Below are 25,065 nucleotides of genomic sequence, written 5' to 3'. Positions count from 1 at the left end.
GGAAAATGTGGCTGGCTATCTACAAGCTAGTAAAAGAAGAGTCCTAGCCAGGAAAAGATTCTGGGGACCTTTATCTGAGATTTTTCGTAATCCGGAACTGGGGAAAAATACAATTTTTGCTTTTTAAGCCACCCAGCCCGTAGTATTTCGTTATGGTAGCCAGAGCAGCCTAATTTACTTACTATATGAGTACTTGTTACCAACACAACAAAACAGTTATTTTTAGTGTCTGAAAATAAAGTGCTTCATAGAAGGTATTACATTTTAATACTTATACATTAAATGCTAATTTTGTATGAAATTAACATTTACACATTAAATATAAAACTAGCATTTACACATACACACACACACACACACACACTCATTTTTTCCCAGAGGATATTTTAAACAGTGGCTTTTACTGAAAGAGGAGCTGAAGGTCAATATGTTCAGGAAACAAATAAAAGTATTCACCAATAAGACCTACATGTGAGTTATAAAATCCTATACAGTTCATCAGAAAATATCCAACAATCCCTAAAATATGCTCTAATATCTAATATTAGAATCAGAAGTACTTCCATACATCTTCTTTTTCTTAACATTGATAATATCAGAAACTAAACTCTTGTATATGTAAATATTTTGATTTATATTTTATAATCTGATAAGAAATATGCTTACAATAAACTAGTAGACAAACATGTTTCTATAAAATGACTAGTTGAATTAAATGCAACAGAGATTTCTTTTTTAGAGGGTATGTGGCAACATTTAAAGCAAAAGCAAAAGAAGATGCTCAAAAGAGACTGAGAAGAATCACCCATGGAAGCAAGAAGAAAAATAGAAAAGTGTAATATCTGGGAAGCCTAGATTTTCTCTAGCCTCACTTCCCTGTAGCTCTTGCTAGTGAATCCTACCCATTTCCCATATAGATCATACCACGATATCATTAGAATGTGTTTATATCTACTTTTCCAGCTTTGTAGCTTCCAAAATATTAATTATTCATCCTTATAAAACATTTCTCCTTCTTTGAATTTTATGCTGTCGGGTTGTGCCTCCCTCTTTTCTTTTGTCAAATATTAACCTCAAAGTCTTGCCCTGATATTCAGCATCGACTCAGGTACTGTCTCAATATTCTCCTCTACCTCAGATCTTGTCATTGTGCTAAGTTATCTCTATGTCTTTTGGGACAAAACCATCTTCCACCCTTAATTCAGAATTCCTTAACCATAGCTCTTATGACCTTCACCGACACTCCAACTATGCCACACCAATGATCGACTTCTAGACCTGACATTGACATGAAGTTCTCTCTCTTTCAATTGCAAATATTACTTATCTTACTCGCTTCCAAAGCTTCACATTCTTGATTATTTCATGTGCACATATACCTCCAGAACTTTCATCTTTTTATTCACTCCCAATCTTAGCATCATCTCCTGGATTCATAGACTCTTTCCAGCCTATATCACTCACCCATTCAGATAAAGGAACAGTTTCTTGTTATTGTCTTTTCGTCCTTTCTTCTTTTACTTTCCCGTGATTCTCTATAAAACTCCAACCCTATAAAATTTTACTGAGTGGTTTATCTGCTCATTTATACTGTTTTGTTTTCTCACAGAAAAGTCACACTATCAACTTAACTAGCATCCCAACAAATTAAAAAATTAATTACCACCAATATTACAGGTTATAGAACCACATAATGTTAATGTTCAATTTCTTTTGGTGATATTTTTCTTCATCACTTACTTTGTTTTTTCTTTTTTTTGGGGGGGGGGGATTTCTTGTTTATTTTTTGTACTGATATCTAGGTTATTTCCACCAAGATAAAATTACATGTTTCTAATTATTTCAGTGTCTTGAAATTTGTTGATATTTGCTTTGACTCAACATATGGTCAACTTTTTTTTTCTTTTACTTTTATACTTTAAGTTCTAGGGTACATGTGCACAACGTGCAGGTTGGTTACATATGTATACATGCGCCATGTTGGTGTGCTGCATCCATTAACTCATCATTTACATTAGGTATATCTCCTAATGCTATCCCTCCCCCCTCCTACCACCCCACGACAGGCCCCGGTGTGTGATGTTCCCCTCCCTGTGTCCAAGTGTTCTCATTGTTCAATTCCCACCTATGAGTGACAATATGCGGTGTTTGGTTTTTTTGTCTTTGGGATAGTTTGCTGAGAATGATGGTTTCCAGCTTCATCCATGTCCCTACAAAGGACATGAACTCATCCTTTTTTATGGCTGCATAGTATTTCATGGTGTATATGTGCCACATTTCCTTAATCAAGTCTATCATTGATGGACATTTGGGTTGGTTCCAAGTCTTTGCTATTGTGAATAGTGTTGCAGTAAACATACGTGTGCATGTGTCTTTATAGCAGCATGATTTGTAATCCTTTGGGTATATACCTGGTAATGGGATGGTTGGGTCAAATGGTATTTCTAGTTCTAGATCCCTGAGGAATCGCCACACTGTCTTCCACAATGGCTGAACTAGTTTACAGTCCCACCAACAGTGTAAAAGTGTTCCTATTTCTCCACATCCTCTCCAGCACCTGTTGTTTCCTGATTTTTTAATGATCGCCATTCTAACTGGTGTGAGATGGTATCTCATTGTGGTTTTGATTTGCATTTCTCTGATGGCCAGTGATAGTGAGCATTTTTTCATGTGTCAGTTGGCTGCATAAATGTCTTCTTTTGAGAAGTGTCTGTTCATATCCTTCACTCACTTTTTGATGGGGTTGTTTTTTTCTTGTAAATTTGTTTGAGTTCTTTGTAGATTCTGGGTAGTACCCCTTTGTCAGATGGGTAGATTGCAAAAATTTTCTCCCATTCTGTAGGTTGCCTGTTCACTCTGATGGTAGTTTCTTTTGCTGTACAGAAGCTCTTTAGTTTAATTAGATCCCATTTGTCAATTTTGGCTTTTGTTGCCATTGTTTTTGGTATTTTAGACATGAAGTCCTTGCCCGTGCCTATCTCCTGAATGGTATTGCCTAGGTTTTCTTCTAGGGTTTTTATGGTTGTAGGTCTAACATGTAAGTCTTTAATCCATCTTGAGTTAATTTTTGTATAAGGTGTAAGGAAGGAATCCAGTTTCAGCTTTCCACATATGGCTAGCCAGTTTTCCCAGCACCAGTTATTCAACAGGGAATCCTTTCCCGATTTCATGTTTTTGTCAGGTTTGTCAAAGATCAGATGGTTGTAGATGTGTGGTATTATTTCTGAGGGCTCTGTTCTGTTCCATTAGTCTATATCTCTGTTTTGGTACCAGTACCATGCTGTTTTGGTTACTACTGCCTTGTAGTATAGTTTGAAGTCAGGTAGCAAGATGCCTCCAGCTTTGTTCTTTTGGCTTAGGATTGTCTTGGCAATGCGGGCCCTTTTTTGGTTCCATATGAACTTTTTAAAGTAGTTTTTTCCAATTCTGTGAAGGAAGTCATTGGTAGCTTGATGGGGATGGCATTGAATCTATAAATTACCTTGGGCAGTATGGCCATTTTCATGATATTGGTTCTTCCTATCCATGAACATGGAATGCTCTTCGATTTGTTTGTGTCCTCTTTTATTCTGTTCAGCAGTGGTTTGTAGTCCTCCTTGAAGAGGTCCTTCACATCCCTTGTAAGTTGGATTCCTAAGTATTTTATTCTCTTTGAAACAATTGTGAATGGGAGTTCACTCATGATTTGGCTCTCTGTTTGTCTATTATTGGTGTATAGGAATGCTTGTGATTTTTGCACATTGATTTTGTATCCTGAGACTTTGCTGAAGTTGCTTATCAGCTTAAGGAGATTTTGGGCTGAGATGATGGGATTTTCTAAATATACAGTCATGTCATCTGCAAACAGGGACAATTTGACTTTCTCTTTTCCTAATTGAATACCCTTTATTTCTTTCTCCTGCCTGATTGCGCTGGCCAGAACTTCCAACACTATGTTGAATAGGAGTGGTGAGAGAGGGCATCCCTGTCTTGTGCCAGTTTTCAAAGGGAATGCTTCCAGTTTTTGCCCATCCAGTATGATATTGACTGTGGGTTTGTCATAAATAGCTCTTATTATTTTGAGATACATCCCATCAATACCTAATTTATTGAGAGTTTTTAGCATGAAGCGTTGTTTAATCTTGTCAAAGGCCTTTTCTGCATCTATTGAGATGATCATGTGGTTTTTGTCTTTGGTTCTGTTTATATGCTGGGTTATGTTTATTGATTTGCGTATGCTTTGAACCAGCCTTGAATCCCAGGGATGAAGCCCACTTGATCATGGTGGATAAGCTTTTTGATGTGCTGCTGGATTCGGTTTGCCAGTATTTTATTGAGGATTTTTGCATCAATGTTCATCAGGGATATTGGTCTAAAATTCTCTTTTTTTGTTGTGTCTTTGCCAGGCTTTGTTATCAGGTTGATGCTGGTCTCATAAAATGAGTTAGGGAGCATTCCCTCTTTTTCTATTGATTGGAATAGTTTCAGAAGGAATGGTACCAGCTCCTGTTTGTATTTCTGCTAGAATTCAACTGTGAATCCATCTGGTCCTGGACTTTTTTTTTGGTTGGTAGGCTATTAATTACTGCCTTAATTTCAGAGCTTGTTATTGGTCTATGCAGGGATTCAACTTTTTCCTGGTTTAGTCTTGGTAGAGTGTATGCATCCAGGAATTTATCCATTTCTTGTTGATTTTCTGGTTTATTTGTGTAGAGGTGTTTATTCTCTGATGGTAGCTTGTATTTCTGTGGGATGTATTTCTGTATTAAATGGTGATATCCCCTTTATCATTTTTTATTGCTTCTATTTGATTCTTCTCTTTTTTCTTCTTTATTAGTCTTGTTAGCAGTCTGTCAATTTTGTTGATCTTTTCAAAAAACCAGTTACTGGATTCATTGATTTTTTGAAGGGTTTTTTGTGTCTCTATTTCCTTCAGTTCTGCTCTGATTTTAGTTATTTCTTGCCTTCTGCTAGCTTTTGAATGTGTTTGCTCTTGCTTCTCTAGTTCTTTTAATTGTGATGTTAGGGTGTCAATTTTAGATCTTTCCTGCTTTCTTTTGTGGGCATTTAGTGCTATAAATTTCCCTCTACACACTGCTTTAAATGTGTCCTAGAGATTCTGGTATGTTGTGACTTTGTTCTCATTGTTTTCAAAGAACATCTTTATTTCTGCCTTCATTTAATTATGTACCCAGCAGTCATTCACGAGCAGGTTGTTCAGTTTCCATGTAATTGAGCGGTTTGGAGTGAGTTTCTTAATCCTGAGTTCTAGTTTGATTGCACCGTGGTCTGAGAGACAGTTTGTTATAATTTGTGTTCTTTTACGTTTGCCAAGGAGTGCTTTACTTCCAACTATGTGGTCAATTTTCGAATAAGTGTGATATGGTGCTGAGAAGAATGTATATTCTGTTGATTTCGGGTGGAGAGTTCTGTAGATGTCTATTAGGTCTGCTTGGTGCAGAGCTGAGTTCAATTCCTGGATATCCTTGTTACCTTCCTGTCTCATTGATCTGTCTAATGTTGACAGTGGGGTGTTAAAATCTCCCATTATTATTGAGTGGGAGTCTAAGTCTCTTTGTAGGTCTCTAGTGACTTGCTTTATGAATCTGGGTGCTCCTGTATTGGGTGCATATATATTTAGGATAGTTAGCTCTTCTTGTTCAATTGATCCCTTTACCATTATGTAATGGCCTTCTTTCTCTCTTTTGATCTTTGTTGTTTTAAAGTCTGTTTTATCAGAGACTAGGATTGCAACCCCTGCCTTTTTTTGTTTTCCATTTGCTTGGTAGATCTTCCTCCATCCTTTTATTTTGAGCCTATGTGTGTCTCTGCACGTGAGATGGGTCTCCTGAATACAGCACACTGATGGGTCTTGACTCTTTATCCAATTTGCCAGTCTGTGTCTTTTAATTGGAGCATTTAGCCCATTTACATTTAAGGTTAATATTGTTATGTGTGAATTTGATCCTGTCATTATGATGTTAGCTGGTTATTTTGCTCGTTGGTTGATGCAGTTTCTTCCTAACATCGATGGTCTTTACAATTTGGCATGAGTTTTTCAGTGGCTGGGTACCGGTTGTCCCTTTCCATGTTTAGTGCTTCCTTCAGGAGCTCTTTTAGGGCAGGCCTAGTGGTGACAAAATCTCTCAGCATTTGCTTTTCTGTAAAGTATTTTATTTCTCCTTCACTTATGAAGCTTAGTTTGGCTGGATATGAAATTCTGGTTTGAAAATTCTTTTCTTTAAGAATGTTGAATATTGGTCCCCACTCTCTTCTGGCTTGTAGAGTTTCTGCCGAGAGATCTGCTGTTAGTCTGCTGGGCCTCCCTTTGTGGGTAACCCAACCTTTCTCTCTGGCTGCCCTTAACATTTTTTCCTTCATTTCAACTTTGGTGAATCTGACAATTATGTGTCTTGGAGTTGCTCTTCTCAAGGAATATCTTTGTGGCATTCTCTGTATTTCCTGAATTTGAATGTTGGTCTGCCTTGCTAGATTGGGGAAGTTCTCCTGGATAGTATCCTGCAGAGTGTTTTCCAACTTGGTTCCATTTTCCCCATCACTTTCAGGTACACCAATCAGATGTAGATTTGGTCTTTTCATATAGTCCCATATTTCTTGGAGGCTTTGTTCATTTCTTTTTACTCTTTTTTTCTCTAAACTTCTCTTCTCGCTTCCTTTCATTTGTTTAATCTTCAATCACTGATACTCTTTCTTCCAGTTGATCGAATCGGCTACTGAAGCTTGTGCATTCATCATGTAGTTCTCGTGCCATGGTTTTCAGCTCCATCAGCTCATTTAAGGACTTCTCTATACTGTTTATTCTAGTTAACCAATTGTCTAATCTTTTTTCAAGGTTTTTAGCTTCTTTTCAATGGGTTCGAACATCCTCCTTTAGCTCAGAGAAGTTTGATCATCTGAAACCTTATTCTCTGAACTCGTCAAAGTCATTCTCCATCCAGCTTTGTTCCATTGCTGGCGAGGTGTTGCATTCCTTTGGAGGGGGAGAGTTGCTCTGATTTTTAGAATTCTCAGCTTTTCTGCTCTGTTTTTTCCCCATCTTTGTGGTTTTATCTACCTTTGGTCTTTCATGATGGTGATGTATAGATGGGGTTTTGGTGTGGATGTCCTTTCTGTTTGTTAGTTTTCCTTCTAACAGTCAGGACCCTCAGCTGCAGGTCTGTTGGACTTTGCTGGAGGTCCACTCCAGACCCTGTTTGACTGGGTGTCAGAAGCAGAGGTTGCAGAACAGCAAATATTGCTGAACAGCAAATGTTGTTGTCTGATCGTTCCTCTGGAAGCTTCGTCTCACAGGGGTACCCAGCTGTGTGAGGTGTCAGTCTGCCCCTACTGGAGGGTGCCTCCCAGTTAGGCTACTTGGGGGTCAGGGACCCACTTGAGAAGGCAGTATGTTCATTCTTAGATTTCAAACTCTGTGCTGCGAGAACCACTATTCTCTTCAAAACTGTCAAACAGGGACATTTAAGTCTGCAGAGGTTTCTGCTGTCTTTTGTTCGGCTATGCCCTGCCCACAGAGGTGGAGTCTACAGATGCAAGCAGGCCTCCTTGAGCTGCGATGGGCTCCACCCAGTTTGAGTTTCCCAGCTGCTTTGTCTACCTTCTCAAGCCTCAGCAATGACAGGCGTCCCTCCCTCAGCCTCGCTGCTGCCTTGCAGTTTGATCTCAGACTGCTGCGCTAGGAATGAGCGAGGCTCCATGGGCGTGGGACCCTCCAAGCCAGGCACGGGATATAATCTCCTGGTGTGCCATTTGCTAAGACCACTGGAAAAGTGCAGTATTAGGGTGAGAGTGACCCGATTTTCCAGGTGCCATCCGTCACCACTTCCCTTGGCTAGTAAAGGGAATTCCCTGACCCCTTGTGCTTCCCGGGTGAGGCAATGCCTCACCCTGCTTCAGCTCACGCTCAGTAGGCTGCACCCACTATCCTGCCCCCACTGTCTGACAAGCCCCAGTGAGATGAACCTGGTACCTCAGTTGGAAATGTGGAAATCACTCGTCTTCTGCATCACTCAGGCTGGGAGCTGTAGACTGGAGCTGTTCCTATTCTGCCATCTTGGAACTGCTGCCAACCACTTTTGTTTGCTCATTTCATTTGATGATGCTCTTTATATTCTCCAGGGTTTACACATAAATATTTTATTAATGGATACATCATGGAGATGCTCAATATTTAGTTAATGAAAAATATTTACGTTATATATTTACTAATAATTTGCTAAGCGTCAGGTATTCTGCTGGGTGCTTTAGCATATTTTTTAAAAGAAATAACAAAACTGATTTTCTTGAGAATAGAAAAGTGCATGTCTGTGTACTCTGGAGAATATTTTGGGAATGCAAAGCATGGAGAGAAAACCATTTTGTTGAAGTGATGATTAGAAGGTCTGTGGAGGATGCTGCAGTTGACATAGAAGGAATGGTAAGATTTAAATTATCATGTTCTTTCTCATATTTAAATTATCAATTTCTTTATAATTCTTTGTCATGAATTATAATAAATCAGCTGAATGCTTTCTGTAAACACAAAATCCAGGTCAGGTCCTTTACGAAGTCCATCGGGAATATTTAGGCTTTCTCCTTTAGGTCTTGTCCATATGAAACTCTCATCGAGTGCAAGGTTTTTGTATGCCTGATTCATCAATATTTCCACATAACAGCATTTAATAAATTTCTATTGTGGAAAAAATAGTTTTAGTATGTAAACTGATTTCAACTTAACTGCTCTAAATATGTATAGTTCTGTTGATATACAATATTTTGTCAAAATTTGATATGCTAAAAGTGGCAATTTAGGCTATTAAGTTCAGATGTCTTACCATCTTGAAAAAACTCACTAAATATTTTAATAAGCATTTCAGCATGCTAACATTTCAGCCTAATTAATCTAAAACTAGTAATATCTACTAAGTAGCAAATTAATGCCATTATCAGTCCCTATCTTTTTTGACTTTTCAGAATTTTGACAATTTTCTTCATGTCCTCTCTTTCATTGGCTTCAAAAATTCCACTCTCTGTAGTTTCTTTTCCTATTTAAAAAACTTCTTTTTGGTTTCTTCAAATAGGTCATAAAATTCTTCTGAAAATATCTTTCTCCTCCCTTTGTGTTTTTCCCAGGCAGTCTTACTCTCCTTTATGTTTTTTATCTACTCATAAACCTCTATATCTCTGTTTTAGATTTCTCTCCTCAAGATCCCTGCTTCCCAATGCCAGCTTGATGAGGCATGCTCCTTTACATTTTTAGACTATTTTTTTATCATTGCAAATTTAGAAAAAAAATACCAACATTCCTAACTCGAATATTCCAAAGCATGCCTCAGATGAAATGTTTTCAGAATACAACTCATCACTTTCGTCCCCAGTCCTGTACAATTTTTCATTTCTTGGCTCAATGTATAGCAATCCCCTTGTCCCAAGCCAGCCACCTGGAGATTACGCTTAATACATTTTAAATTCCTCATATCCAACTGGTCACCAATTCCTATTGATTATTATTCATAAATATACCTTAAGTATATATTTTATTATAATTCTCAGGACCGGTGCCTTAGTTCAGGCATGCATTACCTCTCTCTTAAATTATTTTGATGGCTTTTTAACTGATATTCTTGACCTGCATCTTTCTTTGCCTCCCATTCCATCCTCTCTACGTTATTGCCTGTGATAACTTTTGAGAAACTGATGATACATTCCTCTATTTAAAATATGTAATAGCTCCTCATAGCAACGGTTTAAAGTCTAATCTCTTTAGAAAGATATGTAAGTTCAGCCTTCCTCCTTTTCATAAATAGCTGATTTCTTTCCAGTGTTAAATACTTTTCCATTCTAGTATCCAGCTTAACAAGGGAATTGTTGCTCCCCAAATGCTCCCCACTTCATTCTGTTTCTTCTGCTTAAATTATCCATTTTGTTTTGCCTACCTAATGAAACCAACTTACCCTAAAAGGCCCAAGTCTAACAATTCTGTGAAGTCTTCTGAGTCACCATTATTTTTTACTCTATGGCTTCTAGTACTTTGTCTGTGTGTGTATGTGTGTGTCCTTATTATGTGTGTAGACTGTATCACATTGTATAGGTGATATTTGGCAATTATTATTTTAATTAAGAATTGAGAATTGAGATCATCCAAAATATGTTATATTATGATACTGAAATTAAACTAGAAATCAATAATGAAGATATCTGAGAAATCTCAGATATTAGGAAATTAAATAACCTTCTGGCTCGGCATGGTGGCTCATGCCTGTTATCCCAGCACTTTGGAAGTTTGATGCTGGCAGATCACCTGAGGTCAGGAGCTCAAGACCAGCCTGGACAACATGGCAAAACCATGTCTCTACTAAAAATACAAAAATCAGCCAGGTGTGGTGGCAAGCACCTGTAATCCCAGCTACTCAGGGGCTGAGGCAGAGGAATAGCTTGAACCCAGGAGAAGGAGTTTGCAGTGAGCTGAGATCACTCCACTGCACTCCAGCCTGGGCGACAGAGAGAGACTCTGCCTCAAAATATAATAATAATAATAAAATAAATCATAACAAAGTGGAAGTCACAAAGAAAAGGAGAAAATATTTTGACATAAATTTAAATTAAAACTACATATCAGAATGTGTGGCTATAGCTAAATCAGTACTTGGAAGGAAATTCATAGTATTAAATGCTTATATGAGGAAAGAATAAAATCTCAAATCAGTGGCTCAAGGTTTTATGTTAGGAAGCAAGAAAATGGAGAACACATTAAAATCAAATCAGACATACACATAAAGAAACAATGAATAGTAAAATTGAAAGGACACAAATTATACAAATTATCAATATGTAAACATAAAAAGGACATCACTGCAACTGCTACAGATATTAAAAAGGACAATTAGGAAATACTAGGAGCAATTTTGTAGGGAGATAGAAACCAAAAAGAAACAGTAAACTGAAAACTTTAAGGATAAAAATCCAACATAAATTCAGCAAATGGAAGACACAAATTACCAAAGCTCACTCATGAAGAAATAGATAACAAGAATAGTCTTACAACAAGTTAACACATTGAATTTATATTTTCAAATCTTTTTAATGAAGCATGGGCCAGATATCTTTACTGGTTAATGAAATAGATCATGTAAGGAAGGAATGACACCAATTCTTTTTGTGCTTTTCCAGAATATTGAAGAGGAGGAAATACTTCCCAGTTGATTTTACAGGCCAGCATAACTTAGATACCAAACCAAAGACATTATAAGAAAACAAATCAACATGCCAATATACTTTATGAACATAGTTTTTTAAACAAAATATTAGCAGTTGAATCCAGAAATACAAAAAGAATAATACACCATGATTGAACAGAATTTAGCCTTGAAATGAAGGGCTGGAACAACAGTAAAAAATCAAATAATGAATTTCGCCATATAAAAAACTAAAGGAAAAAATGTGATCAAGCTTGGCAGGACACGGGGGAGGAGAAATGGAGAGAAGTTGGTTAACGGATACAAATATACATTAACATAGAAGGAATAAGTTCTAGTACTTGATAGTACAGTAGGGAGACTATAGTTAACACTAATTTACTATATATTTTAAAATGGCCAGAAAAATAGAAATACTCCCCAAAAAAGGAAAAGATAAATGTTTGAAGTAATTAATAGTAATAGAGGCTAAAAAAGTATTTGCAGAATTCAGCATTTATTTATACATTTATGATTTTAAAAACGAAGAAAACCAAAAATAAGGAATTTCCTCCACTTGATAAAGAGAACCTGCAAAGAACACACACACACACTCTTTATGGTACAAAACTGAATGCCTTTCTCCTAAGACAGGTGAAAAGGTAAGATGTCCACTTTCAACAATTCTATTTAATATATTGAAAGCTCTAGTTGGGGTAATAAAGCAGGGAAAATAAATGAAAGACTAAAGATTGGAAAGGGGAAAATGAAACTCTATTATAGATGACAAGAATATTTATTTAGAATTTCCTGCAGATTCTACAAAAAAATAGAATAATTGCATTTAGCAAGTCATAGGCTATAAAGTCCATATAGAAAAATTAATTGTATTTCTATATAATCACTATAATCAATAGAAAGTTAAGATGTAAAATAAATTACCATTTGTAACAGCACCAAAACCTGAAGTGTGTTTGTAGAAGCCTAAAAAGTTGTGCAAGAACTATATACTGAAAACTATCAAATACTGATGAACTACATCAATGAAGTTATAAATAAATGAAGAAATATATCATGTTAATAAATCTGAACACTCGACATAGTAAATTGGTTTATAATTTCAAGGTAAGTTCAGTCAAAATGTCAGCAGGATTCTTTGCAGACATTGACAAGCTGATTCTAAAATGTTTATGGAAAGACAAAGAAGTGGCCCGGCCCGGTGGCTCACACCTGTAATCCCAGCACTTTTGGAAGCTGAGGCAGGCAGATCAATTCAGCCCAGGAGCTGCAGACCAGCCTGGCCAACATGGCGAAAACCCGTTTCTACTAAAAATACAAAACTTAGCTGGTGTGGTGGCACATGCCTGTAATCCCAACTACTTGGGAGGCTTTGGCAAGAGAATCACTTGAACCCAGGAGGTAGAGGCTGCACTGAGTGAAGATTGGGCCACTATGCTCCAGCCTGGGTGGCAGAATAAGACCCTGTTTCAAAAACAACTACAGCAACACAACAAAAATAAAATAAAATAAAATAAAATAAAATAAAATAAAATAAAGACAAAGAAATAGAATAGCCAAAATTATTTTTCAAGTAACAGTTAATGGAATCATACTACTTGATTTCAAGACTTTCTGTGAAGCTATAGTAAGACTATAAAATATTTGCAAAAGTACAGAATTAACTCAATGGAACAGAATAGAAAGTCTAGAAATAGAGCCACCAACATATGGCCAAATGACTTTTGAGAAAAGTAAAATTATATTATTTTCCACAAATGTGGGTGGAACAATTAGATATTTGCAGGGAAGAAAATCTGACTTATATCTTGTACTGGATACAAAAATTAATTCATAATGTAACATAGGCCTAAATATATAACCTAAAGCTACATCATTTCTAGATCTTATGAGAAAATCTTTGTTAATGTGAATTAAATATTTATTAGATGCAACATCAAAAGTATGATCTATGAAAGAAAAGATGATAAACTCAATTTCACCAAAATTTTTAAAATTCTGTTTTTTAAGACACTCTTAAATGATACAGACTAAAAAAATACAAAACACATATTCTGATTAAAAAAAATCTATTCAACTTGCAGAAACAGCTCTCAAAACTCAATGCAATAACCAAACACCAATTTTAAAATGGACAAAACTTTGAAGAAATACTTTACCAAATAAGATAGACAGATAGATGGCACACAACATATAAAAATATGCTTAACATTATAATTAAGTGCAAATTAAAACTACAATATAGTACCACTATATATTAGAATGGCAAAAAAATGTGTTGCTGGGAATATGAAGCAACAGGAACTTTTATACATTGATGATTACACTAAATCTGAATTACAGTTTAGAAGCTTTTTGTAACATTAAGCATATACTTACCATGTGACCCCACAATTTCATAAGTGAAGTAAAGCTTATGTTTGTCTGAATCTTGTATGTGAATATTTATAGCAGCCTTATTTTTAATCCCTGAAAACCTGGAAATAATGCAATTTACTTTCGATAATGAATGGAACCAACCTGTGATATACTCACACAATGAAATACTACTCTTCAAGAAAAATAAACTTACACATGAGAAAAATTAATGAATCTCTAATGTATTATGTTAAACAAAATAAACTGAATTAAAACGGCTACATGTTGCATAACTTCATTTGTTGATATTCTGGAAATGGCAAAATTATGGAACAGAAATTTGTCCAATGAGCCCACAACGGATGGTTGAATGGGTTGGATTGGACGATGAGACCATTCCGTGTAGATGAGAGGTAAATCTACCTCTTGTAAAGTGAGAGAAGGTTGATTGTGAAAGAAGAATTGAGCACTCTGTGATAACAGGTGCATTCCTCTGCTGATTACTTTTCGGAGTATATAGGGACATTGAAGACTGGAAACTGTTGACTTTAGAACTGTTTGATCTCGCACATCTCTTGGAATGTCTTTGTTGTACAGTTAAGGGTACATGCAGGCTAACTGATCACCCCTACTCCAGTGTATTAGCCTGATTAAATGTCCCTATGCAAAGGCAAGTATAACTCTAGCAATTAGTTACATTTTGATTTCTCCCAGGAGACACTGAGTTCCTTAACAACAAAGATAATATCTTATTTGCCTTCTATCATCTAGGTTTTGTGCAAGGCCACAATAAACTCCACAAATATATGAATTGAATGAGTGAATCTATAATTCCACTGACTCGAATGAAGCTTAGAATTGTGGTTAGTAATGAAAGAAGTATGTCGTGCACTTACTGAGGTCTATGGCTCACAGAACCCCAAGGTACATCAAGAACTGTATCAAAACACCTCATGTACCCCTCAAATAGATACACCTACTATATACCAACAAAATTTTTAAAATAATAAAGCTTTGAAAAGAATTAATCAAATTACAAAAAACATTAATCACATTACATAGATGTGGTTAATTTTGAAATTGTTGCTTTCTTTTTCATGACTATAAACATTTCTTAAAACAAAATATTACCTGATTTATTGATACATTTTTTTCCAAGCAGTTTGTTCACAGTACAATAGAAGTCATCAGTGCAAAGACACTCTTTAAATTGGAAATTGCTTTCCACTAAGTACTGGATACTCAGGTTACAGTATGATGAATTCCTCATCTTGCAGGGGTCACCTGGATCTCACAATCAAACACATAACACTATAGATATTAATCTGATTATAATTTTGGATTCTTCCTCCCCAAAGTACTTTTAACATATTAACCTGAATAATTAATTAATATGGTAAGATTATCTGGGGTTGCTGCAAGATATCCATATAAGTGACATTTTATGAAAAACCTGTATTTTCATTGAATATTTTCCATAATGTACTTTCTATATTAAAACTTTCTGCATTTCAAAATAGCTTTTTCCTACTTAGAATATCATTTCTTGCTTTTCAGTAAAAATAAGGCTACTCTTACAGGAGGTGACCAGAATGCTCTCTAATCTTAGCATTTTGTCAGCTTATCTATTTTATTAGCTATTTTGTCATAATCTGATCTTTTATTTTCATATCATTCTCAGACTATAGAAAGATATGTGCAGGTAGCTCTAAATTTATCATTAAAAATTATGTGGTCCTGGCACATAGCACTCAATAAATATTATTGAATAAGTCTCATAATTACCAATATTTCATTTTCTACATTAATTTAAAAATATGTAATCCTCTACCTGAACATTTTCTTTTATTTATTATTCTGAATAAAACTACCTTAGTTTATTTCATTTGTACATTTGAGAATACGCATATTTCAGCTTCATACATAAAATAATTATGCAAATATTATTGCAATTTACTGCAAAAGACTATTTGTATACTGAAATTAAATAAGGTACAATTTGTGACACCTAAATATAATATTTTAACAACATATTTTAAATTGCCTTATAAAATGTAGCAAGAAGTTTAATCATCAAAATAAATAGATTATTTTTAGATTATACTGTAGATAGATTATACTGTAATCTGTATAGATTATGCTGTAGAACAATGTTCTACTGTATAAATTGACTATGTTCTACCACATAGACAGTTTATTCTATTTACTTATTCTATTTACTTTATTCTATTTGTAGTTTATACTATTCTATTTACTTTTAATGAAAGGAGTCTTACTATAATGTTCTCATTCAATGCTTATTTAGCTACTTGAATATTCAAAATATATATATTTTTTCTTTTTAAGGAAATATAGGCCAGGCACGGTGGTGCACGCCTGCAATCCCAGCACTTTGGGAGGCCGAGGCAGGCAGATCACGAGGCCAAGAAATTGAGACCATCCTGGCCAACGTGGTGAAATCCCGTCTCTACTAAAAATACAAAAATTAGCTGGGCATGGTGGCATGCGCCTGTAGTCCCAGCTACTCTGGAGGCTGAGGCAGGAGAAAGAATCGTTTGAACCCGGGAGGCGGAGGTTGCAGTGAGCCGAGATCACGCAGCTACACTCCAGCCTGGCGACAGACCAAGATTCAGTCTCAAAATAAAAAAAAAAAGAAAAAAGAAAGAAAATACCAGTCACTCTCCAATCTTCACATTCTCAACTCTTGAACCTCCCCACAAATGTTTGGAAGGTAGGCCAAGTTAAAAACAAAACTATAGCTTTACTTGTTCTTGACATAGAATTGGAAATACCGCATATATGTTTCAAGAATATACATTGTACATTGTGCATGGACAAATGCACAACAATTATTATAACAAATCTTATTTTTTCTATTTTATCATTGACATATGTAATCAAAATAACCTTTTATTTGAAAAAAAATAGTGCCATGGTTCTCAGAAGAATGCATAAAATTGTAGCATTATACATGGTGAGAGAGGTAAGAAAATAATCTGAAATCTTGAATAATGCTGCCCTCAGTAATTAAAGCTCTTTAGTAATTAAGAAAATCCTTTTGTAATTAAATTTGCTAATACATGATTAAAAGTGAATCGATGGGGGTCAAGATTAAATAAGATACATAGAAAAAAACTTAGTTCTTAGGATAATGACAAAATATCAAATCCTGTTTTTATCTTAGTAAAAATAAATCATTTGAGTGTATTTTTAGCAACTTGTTTACCTGAATCATTGCAGGCATCTTCCATTACTCTCCAAGCATGTTTACATCCATTTGCATCACGTAAGCATTGCTCTCTTAAATATGTGCAATTATTGGTTTGGGAAGTGTATTCATTTTCCAAGCTTAACCCCATAGCTTGAATAACAACAACAAAAACAAGGTTGTAATATAAATTTGGCATCCATTTTCTTCAAATCTAAGTTATTAATGATAAAGAGCAGAATTATGGAAAATAACATGTAGTGAAATAATTGATGGTGGGAATAACCTTAACCTCCTCTCTAGCTGTAGATCTGTATTTCTTTTTATAGATTCTTAAATGAATATTTTAAATTTGCTCATTTTGACGTCTCATCATCTATTTATTCCTCAACTTATAATTTATTTTTATTACTATTATTCCATTAAAACTGCTCTTAAAAAAGTCTCTAATTACCCCTTTAAAATCTAACTTAATGGTTTTAAACTTTATCTCACCATTGACCATTTTGTTGACTTTTTTGTTTTTGAAACTCTTCCTTTGCCAGCCCTCCCTTCTGTTCTCTTGATATTTATCCACTTTGTATTTTCTGACCATAGCTAAAATTATTCCCAGGATCATTTTATTCTTCTAGTAAAGTATAATTTTAGCTTAGGTTCTCTTCTCAGACCTTTTCTATTTTCATTTTATACATTCTCTGCAGAAAATTCCATGTACTCTTATGGTTTGAACTAAAATGTTAGTCTGATGATTCTCAAATGTATAATTTAATCTCAGTATTTCCAGCGTTCCTGTCATAGGTACGTAATTGTTATCTCTACTTGAATGTTTCAGAAACACTTTCACAGGATCTTCATCATCATTGTTCCACTGTGGACCACTACTTCATTCACAATGCCACAATTAACATGAGAACTCAAACTAGAAATCTTGGTTTTGTGGTAGACTATTTTCCATCCTCAACTTCACTCTCCCATATTCATTCTTGCTAAATTTATTGACTTTCACTTTGAGCATTTGTTTAACTTATTAGTCAGTCTGCCTCCAGTTTGAATCTTATTCAGAACCTTATTCAGATAGGTTCTTTGTAACCCCTAATCTACCTGATGTACTATTCTAGTCTTGCCATTTTTCTGTTTTATATCCTTTAAACTATTTCTCATATCAGGGCTCTCATATTCCTCACCATGTGCAATCTGGAAGGTCTCAAGCATTTATCGTTTCCCGAATGATCCATGCTGTCTTCTACCTCTGCATACCTACTGTCTGATCCCTGATAAGTATTTTCTTTCTTTTTCTTCTGGAATAACCCTTTTTGTTGTTTAAAACTGAACACAATCATTAGCTATTTTCTGGAAACTTTACTTGAATTCTATACTCCCCTTTTTCCACACTCAAATTGAATTTGACATCTTCCATCCATTTACTAGAACTGTGGGGATCCCGCAATTACAGATTTTACTGTTCTGTAGTGTATATATTCATGTGCCTGTCTCCACCACTGGATTGTACAGCTTTACCCACAGACATTAAGGATAATTTATAACTGTATTTTTGTCACCAAACACAGTGATGCAGTATAGGTATTCAATAAATGAATATTGGCTTATACCCAAGTTATTAGATGTTTATATATAAGATATATAAATAACTGATAACATCTAAAAAATAATACCTTCCAGATATTTACAAGTTACTTTTGCTAGAGGAGAAATCCAGCAAGTTTTCTAAAAACAATCAAGAAAATAGCAATGTTAATTTAATATGTTACGCAAGTTAGTCAAATTGATTCTGCAAACATATGAAGTGACACTAGCCAAATCAATTAATAGAAAAAAATACAGGGATTGAAATTGTGTTACAGAGACAGTTGTAGTAACTGTCATCAAGAGAGTCAAGCTATAACTAAATAAGAGCCAAATTATTTGAATTTTTAAATGCTGTTGTTAATTATGAATCACCTGTGACAATGTAGAGTGATAGGCTTCAAGTAAGGGCTTGAAATCTCTCTTTTTTTTTTAAATCTTACCTCTTTGCAAATCTCATCTTATAAGAAGAATCCAAGACAACTGATTGGACCATGTGTACTACTTGCTGGGTCACTGCATTTGGAGATTAGGCCCATGGGTGTAGCTTGGTAACATTTTTCTTGCTGAGGGCTGGAGTGGAAATGGACATATCAGCTTTCTGTTTTCTCATGTGTTCATGGACAACCTCATCTAGCCAAGCCCTTGTACTCCTTATTTGGCTAGCCCAAAGAAAGAAAAAGAGGACTCTTTTGATCCTAGCACAAATTTACTTGGTCAAATCCAGTTTTCCAAAGACCCAGAAATAGAAATTTGAAGTCATAAACTCAACTTATAAGAAAATGGTATTTTATTTGCCATTAATCATTATATCTTGTGAAAAGCCCCTTCAAGAATCTTATAAGTGATAATATCCCAGATATATCATCAAAACTTCATCAGTACTTCAGAGTAATAATCACTTAGAAATACTACATGTTGTCTTCCCCAAATATGTTTTACTTCCTTTCACATTTTCAGTTTTTAATGTTTTACTTCCTTTCACATTTTCAGTTTTTGGTTGAACAAGCTTCTTAATAGATTATTTTATAGGATTTTCCACACTTCCTACTCAACAAAATATTGACTCAACTAAGAAAACCACCTCAATGATTTGGTCCACAAGAATCAAGAATGTATTACCTCTCCAAAATCTGTCTTATTCATTCCAAACTATGACTTGTGGTTTTGTATTTAACCTAGGATTTTTCAAGAATTTTCCTGTAATACTCAATGAAAAATAACTTCTATTTTTAAATTAATAAGATGGATAATGCTGCAAATTATATCAGTGTTTTAAAGATGTATGGGGCTTATTATCCTACTAAATGTTCTGAGATTTTAAAATTCATTGTTTTCCACATTTCTTTACCAACAGACATTTTCCTCATTATAAGACCTATTTAGATAATGTCAAACAAGCATTCTAAAAAATATAATATGGGAAATGTTGGTACAACATATCAAATAGTATAATTTTAGTTCTAACAATGTTAAGAAGTTATTTCCCTCCTTCATGCAACCTGGTGTCAAGTTAATTTAGAAGTAAAAGATGAAAATAAGAGGCCATTGCCTTTTCAACTGAGGTCATAATGAGTCTGTAATGTATTTTGTGAGCTTCATTATATTGCTGCCTGATCTATAAAAATTAAAGTTTCCTATATTTCTCTTTATCACAAAAAAGAACTAAAGAAATATTAACAATCTTTATAAAAATAAGAAAATATTTTAGGAATAATTACAAAAAGCAAAATTATGGAACAATGGAAAAATATTACTTAAACAAAAGAAAAACTGAAAATATAAGGGATTTCTCTCCTTCTTAACTTGTTTCCTTGACTTGATATGACTCTCCTTTTATGTTCGATACAATTTAAAGTAAACTTCTTTGCTTTCTGGCCCATAATTATGCCTTTATTCAAGTATATATTAGCTTAAACATAAAATGCCATATTTTTAAAATTACAATCTAGCTACAGTTACAATTATTCCTTTTCTGAATTCAGTTTATAGATTCTACCAAATGCTAAAGAAGATATAAAATATTCTCCAGTCACACATCTAGCAAATAGATTCATGGATTCTACATTAAATAAAAATAAATTATTTTTCATCAACATCTTATAATACATTCATCGGATCCAATACAAGAGAAGTAAGTCCACACTTGAGTTCTAGGTCATAAAAATTAATGAAAATATGAAGCATTCTGATATGGTGTTAAGTGGTTTTACTTCACTAAATTACTTCTAGTTAGCAAATATTAACACTGTAGGTAAATTGAATGTTTTAAATTAATCTTATTTTTGTTTAATTTCAAAGCAAAATAAATAAAATAGATAACAGTTTGAAATTTTTCATCTTATAACTTGTAAATAGATACTGGAAGGTTTTATTTTTATTTCTAAAAGGTTCTAACACATGTGTGAATTCCATTAATCCTAATAAGTAACTCAAAGTCATTGGGTCATTCTATACAATAAAACAGAAACAAGCTGAGAGATTAATACAATTTTCACATGCTGCATTATCTATAGAGTTAGAAATAAGTGAGTAAAAGTGAGTGTACATTTTTGCAAGAAGAATAAACCATGTTAAAGCATAAATTTGTAATTTACTTGGTACTTCATATTATAAGCCCCTGTTAAGCTTAAGTGTGATGGTATTCAGTTTACAAAGAATTAGTATTATGAATAATTCAGATAAACCAGAAGCACCATTCACTTACCCAAGAAAATAAACACTATCATGCTGGACAACTCACGGCAGTTCACCTGGAAAAAAAGGCAGATGCGTTTCTTCTGACAACTTTCTTAAGAGTAACTGTCCAGAATAAGGCTTCAGCCTCTGTGTTTGCTTCCTAAAGGCATTACCAATTCAAGTCAGCTTCCTATATCATCATTTCCTCCCCAGTGTTTCCTAAGTTGTGAACTGTTCTAATTATATTCAAATTCGATTATTCTCCTGAGGGTGCTGGTCTTGAATATTAGGATATTATGCCTCTAAGAAAGCCCATGAGCCAAATACTAAGAGAAATGATACATAATCTGCACGTTCATGAAAAAGGTTTATTTTCCTTAACTAAAATACAACACTACGTAAAAGCCTCCCAAATATGACCCAAAATTTTCAAAGACACTTGAGCATACTCAGTCTCCACTTGTTTAATTAGCCTCATTAAGGCAATTTCATGTCATTTGAGGATATAGAAAAGCTAAAAACGCATAATAGCCCTGGAAAATGTATGCAAAATCGAAGTTCTACTAGAATTAGCCTGATATAACTCAAACATACTGGGAAGCTGCTTCCCAAACAAAGAATGTTGTATTACATGTGCCACAAACCCCAGTATGCTTAAAAATTATGCCACTTCAGCTACAGTATCTGATACCTTCCAAGTACAGCTACAGTGTAAAAAACATACTCTTCTCAGTGATGCAGAAATTCTATGTTCCACTGGAAAGATAATCATCTACATTTGTGTGCATCACTTGACAACTATTTTTTTTCCTAGTTTCAATGAAGGGACTTATTTATCTTATGCCTTGGTTTGGCTACGCCCTTCCTCATGTAAACCTACAGCACATCATCTTTCTTGGGGTGTCATGAGACTTCTATTTCTAAATCACCTGGAGGCCTTTCTAGAATGAATGCTTAAAAAATAAAATGCTGCTTTGGCAAGAAATTAAGAAGAGATAGGGATGGGAGAGAAGTATTTGTGCAGTTACACCATTGAGTTTTTGATTGCATATTGTTCATGTTTATTTTATACCAGTAGAGAAGTTATACTATATTTTGTTTTCAGCAGGCATAATGAAAAAACACAGACTCTAGAGTCCAACAAACAAAAATTATAACACTGCTTTTCTCTATAGATCTAGATGAGTGACTTAGCATTGGAAGTTATTCACTCCTTTGTAAAATGTGTCAATTGTATTAATTCTTGCTGTAATATAAGGTATGTATATGAGGGGCTTATATCACAAAAAAATTGATTATATTACATTCACTGACTTAATTATTACATAATAGAAGGATTATAATATCATAAAATTAATCAATCTTTTCTTCTTTTCAAGGGATTGAGTCACTAAACTTTCCTAATGACTTCTACCAAGACAAGCTTAGATATAAGCCAACTTAAAAGGACTTAAACTAGGACAGAGTTGGTTACTACCATAGTTGAAGAGTCCGTGGGAAGAATTAATTTCAGGTGTGTTTTAAACTGTTTTCTCTGGGTCTAAGTTGTTTGTTTCCTCCTGTCTCTTACCTGCATTCTTCTCTACCAGTTCTATTCCCAGAAAGGCTATTTCCTTCTGGTGGGAAGATGGCTGTGAAGCCCTTGGCAAACATCCTTCTCTCTTAGAAAGCAGGGTAGAAAGTGTCATTCTTTTACTATTAAAGTTGCAGAATTAAGTCACATCAGTTCTAGATGTGTCAAGTGCCAATCAATTTTACAAAAGGAACTTACCCCATGTCCAGTATCATAGATACAGGTTGTCAGTGTAGTTGGCCCTTTTCAAAGCACAGAATCTGATGGTGCAGAAGGTGTGCATCACGAAGGAAAATTATGGTATTAGAAGAAGCAGCTGAAGGGATCTTGGGGCAGCAAAAACCACATGCTTAGTAATGTATCTAAGTGCTGAGTTTAAGAAGAGCAACCACAAGGAAAATAAACTTATGAAACAAAGGAAGAGAATAACATAATTTTCTGTTCAAGGAAGGCGATATAGTTATGACTTTCTAGAGTGCAGTGATCCACAGAACCTGAATATAAGACCCTGTGAATGGTGCTAATCTTTGCCAGACAAGTACAGCTGCTTCGGTCTATAACTTATAGGTATAGAAAGCACCTGTGGTCATATAGCTGTTTATCCAACACAAAATAATATCAGCTGTGTTACCACTGAATGCCTGTTCATTGAGCCATCAGTCCTCTTTGTGTATAGACTCCTTCTCAGGATAATATTTTCATGGCAAAAAAAAATTTTAAAGATCATAAAGGAAATTAAGTATGTTAAAATATACTTGTCAAAATATGTTTTAAATTTGTGATAAAGTAATACATATGCTTCCTCATTGCAGAAGGAAATATCAAGATCTAAGTGAGTCTAAAAATATTGTTGTTTCAGTGTAGTGATTATCACAGATCCTAATTTGAAAGAACTTCCACTAATAAAATGTTATATAAAAATATCTGTAACTTCTATTAGTGACAAAGATAGCACAGGAAGTACTGAATTTCAATGAGTTTAGTAAAAAGATAACACAATTTTACCCCAAGCAAATTATAGAACCTCAAATTCATAAACCCAAATTTAATGTCTACGAAAATAATACTCTCGATTATTTAAATGAAAGCTGCTATTGAATCAGAACATTGTAGAAATAGAATTATCAATTTTGATAGTTTCTAATTATAATGTGTGCCTAATTTTAAAATGTATTCTACATTTCAAGTAAAATGTTGTAATATATAAATGAAACAGAAGAAAGTACAGCTGCTCCGGTGGGAATTTTCATGAGTAGTCCTCAGCTCTACTTATTGGGCTTTGCCAGCACATTCACAGCTGCTACTGAAGCATCCCAAAGGCTCTGAAATTCCCATTCAAAATTCCCTAAATTTATGTAATTGCTTTTTGATAAATTTTGTTTTAGCTAACGTATCATTCTCATGACAGTTAAATGCACTAGACCTCACACCTTGGCAAAAGACATGTAATATTTACTAAAAGACTTTTGTATCAAAGACTCTACAAAAACAAAAATGAGGGACAGACACTAGTTGCATGAATTGGATAAACTAGAATGCAAATTAAGCTACATATAAAAGCGAAAAAAGAAAAATTGTTAAATAAAACTCTATGATAAATCAGTGAAAAAAACTTCATATTCAAGGGCACTTCTTTTTGGAACATAAAGTTGTTTAAAGCTTTTGTTCAGTGACATTCGACTTCCTCCAATCACCTTTGCATTACCACTATATTTGTCTACTTAAAACTTTTGTAGCATGCTACTGTCTGGAGGAGTCTGTTCAGCTCTAGCCAACCTAAAATTGACATTCTGAAAAGAATACATACATATGGTCATGAGTTTCTTGGCTAAAAGACCTGTAAACAGAGTTCTAAGATGCCAAGTAATAAAAGCAGACATGAAGCAGTAATTTTTGGAGAAATTAAACAACAACAACAAAAAAACTCTTGCTTTTTTTATTGGAAGACCTCACCAAAAAAAATAATAATAATTAGGTATACTTAATCACCTCACCATAACTTGCCCATCAAGCTCCTCACTCACAACCTGATGAGATGTGGCCAGGCATGGAGGGACAAGGCCGCCAAAACTGGGAGAAGCTGAGAAACCACAAGGAGCCAAGACTCTGAGGTTTGTTCTGCGGAGTTCAGATGGACTAACGTTACTGAGACTCAGTGGATGAAGAGGAAAAGATAAGTGCTAATTATGGGTGGCCTTTTATGCTTTACCAAGAAGACTAGAGTTTAACAGAAGAAAGAGAGGCTTTTGGTGAGTTCCAGAACAGAGTAACCTGGTTGGGTTTTGAAAAATTGCTTATGCAATGCTATGGAAGATGGTTTGGAAACAAGGTAAATTGCCTGTCACAAAGCTATGTCAGTAGTTTAGGGGAGAATGACAAGGGCTGAACTAAAAGTAGTAATGATGCAGAGAAAATGGTAGGTCCAAGAAATTTCAGAATTTAAAATTTACAGGATCTGGCAACCATTTGAGATGGTGGGCGGGTTGAGAAGGAGG

The 25,065-nt window shown here is 34.7% G+C and overlaps 1 protein-coding gene across 1 annotated transcript in view; it reads right to left on the bottom strand.

Moving 5' to 3' along the window:
• The window catches only part of GFRAL (GDNF family receptor alpha like), a 75,025-nt gene extending 53,892 nt beyond the window's left edge, over positions 1-21,133 (bottom strand). The window contains exons 1-3 of the mRNA NM_207410.2: positions 21,026-21,133; positions 16,753-16,887; positions 14,658-14,816 (exon numbers count right to left, since the gene is read on the bottom strand). Of these exons, the coding sequence (NP_997293.2) occupies positions 14,658-14,816; positions 16,753-16,887; positions 21,026-21,047 (316 nt within the window). The 5' untranslated portion in view covers positions 21,048-21,133. The remainder of the gene's footprint in view (positions 1-14,657; positions 14,817-16,752; positions 16,888-21,025) is intronic.
• Between the last annotated feature and the right edge of the window lie 3,932 nt (positions 21,134-25,065).

The sequence above is a fragment of the Homo sapiens genome, chromosome 6 (assembly GCF_000001405.40).
Source record: "Homo sapiens chromosome 6, GRCh38.p14 Primary Assembly".
NCBI classification, from domain to species: Eukaryota; Metazoa; Chordata; class Mammalia; order Primates; family Hominidae; genus Homo; species Homo sapiens.
This window is presented reverse-complemented; position numbering and strand designations above follow the sequence as displayed.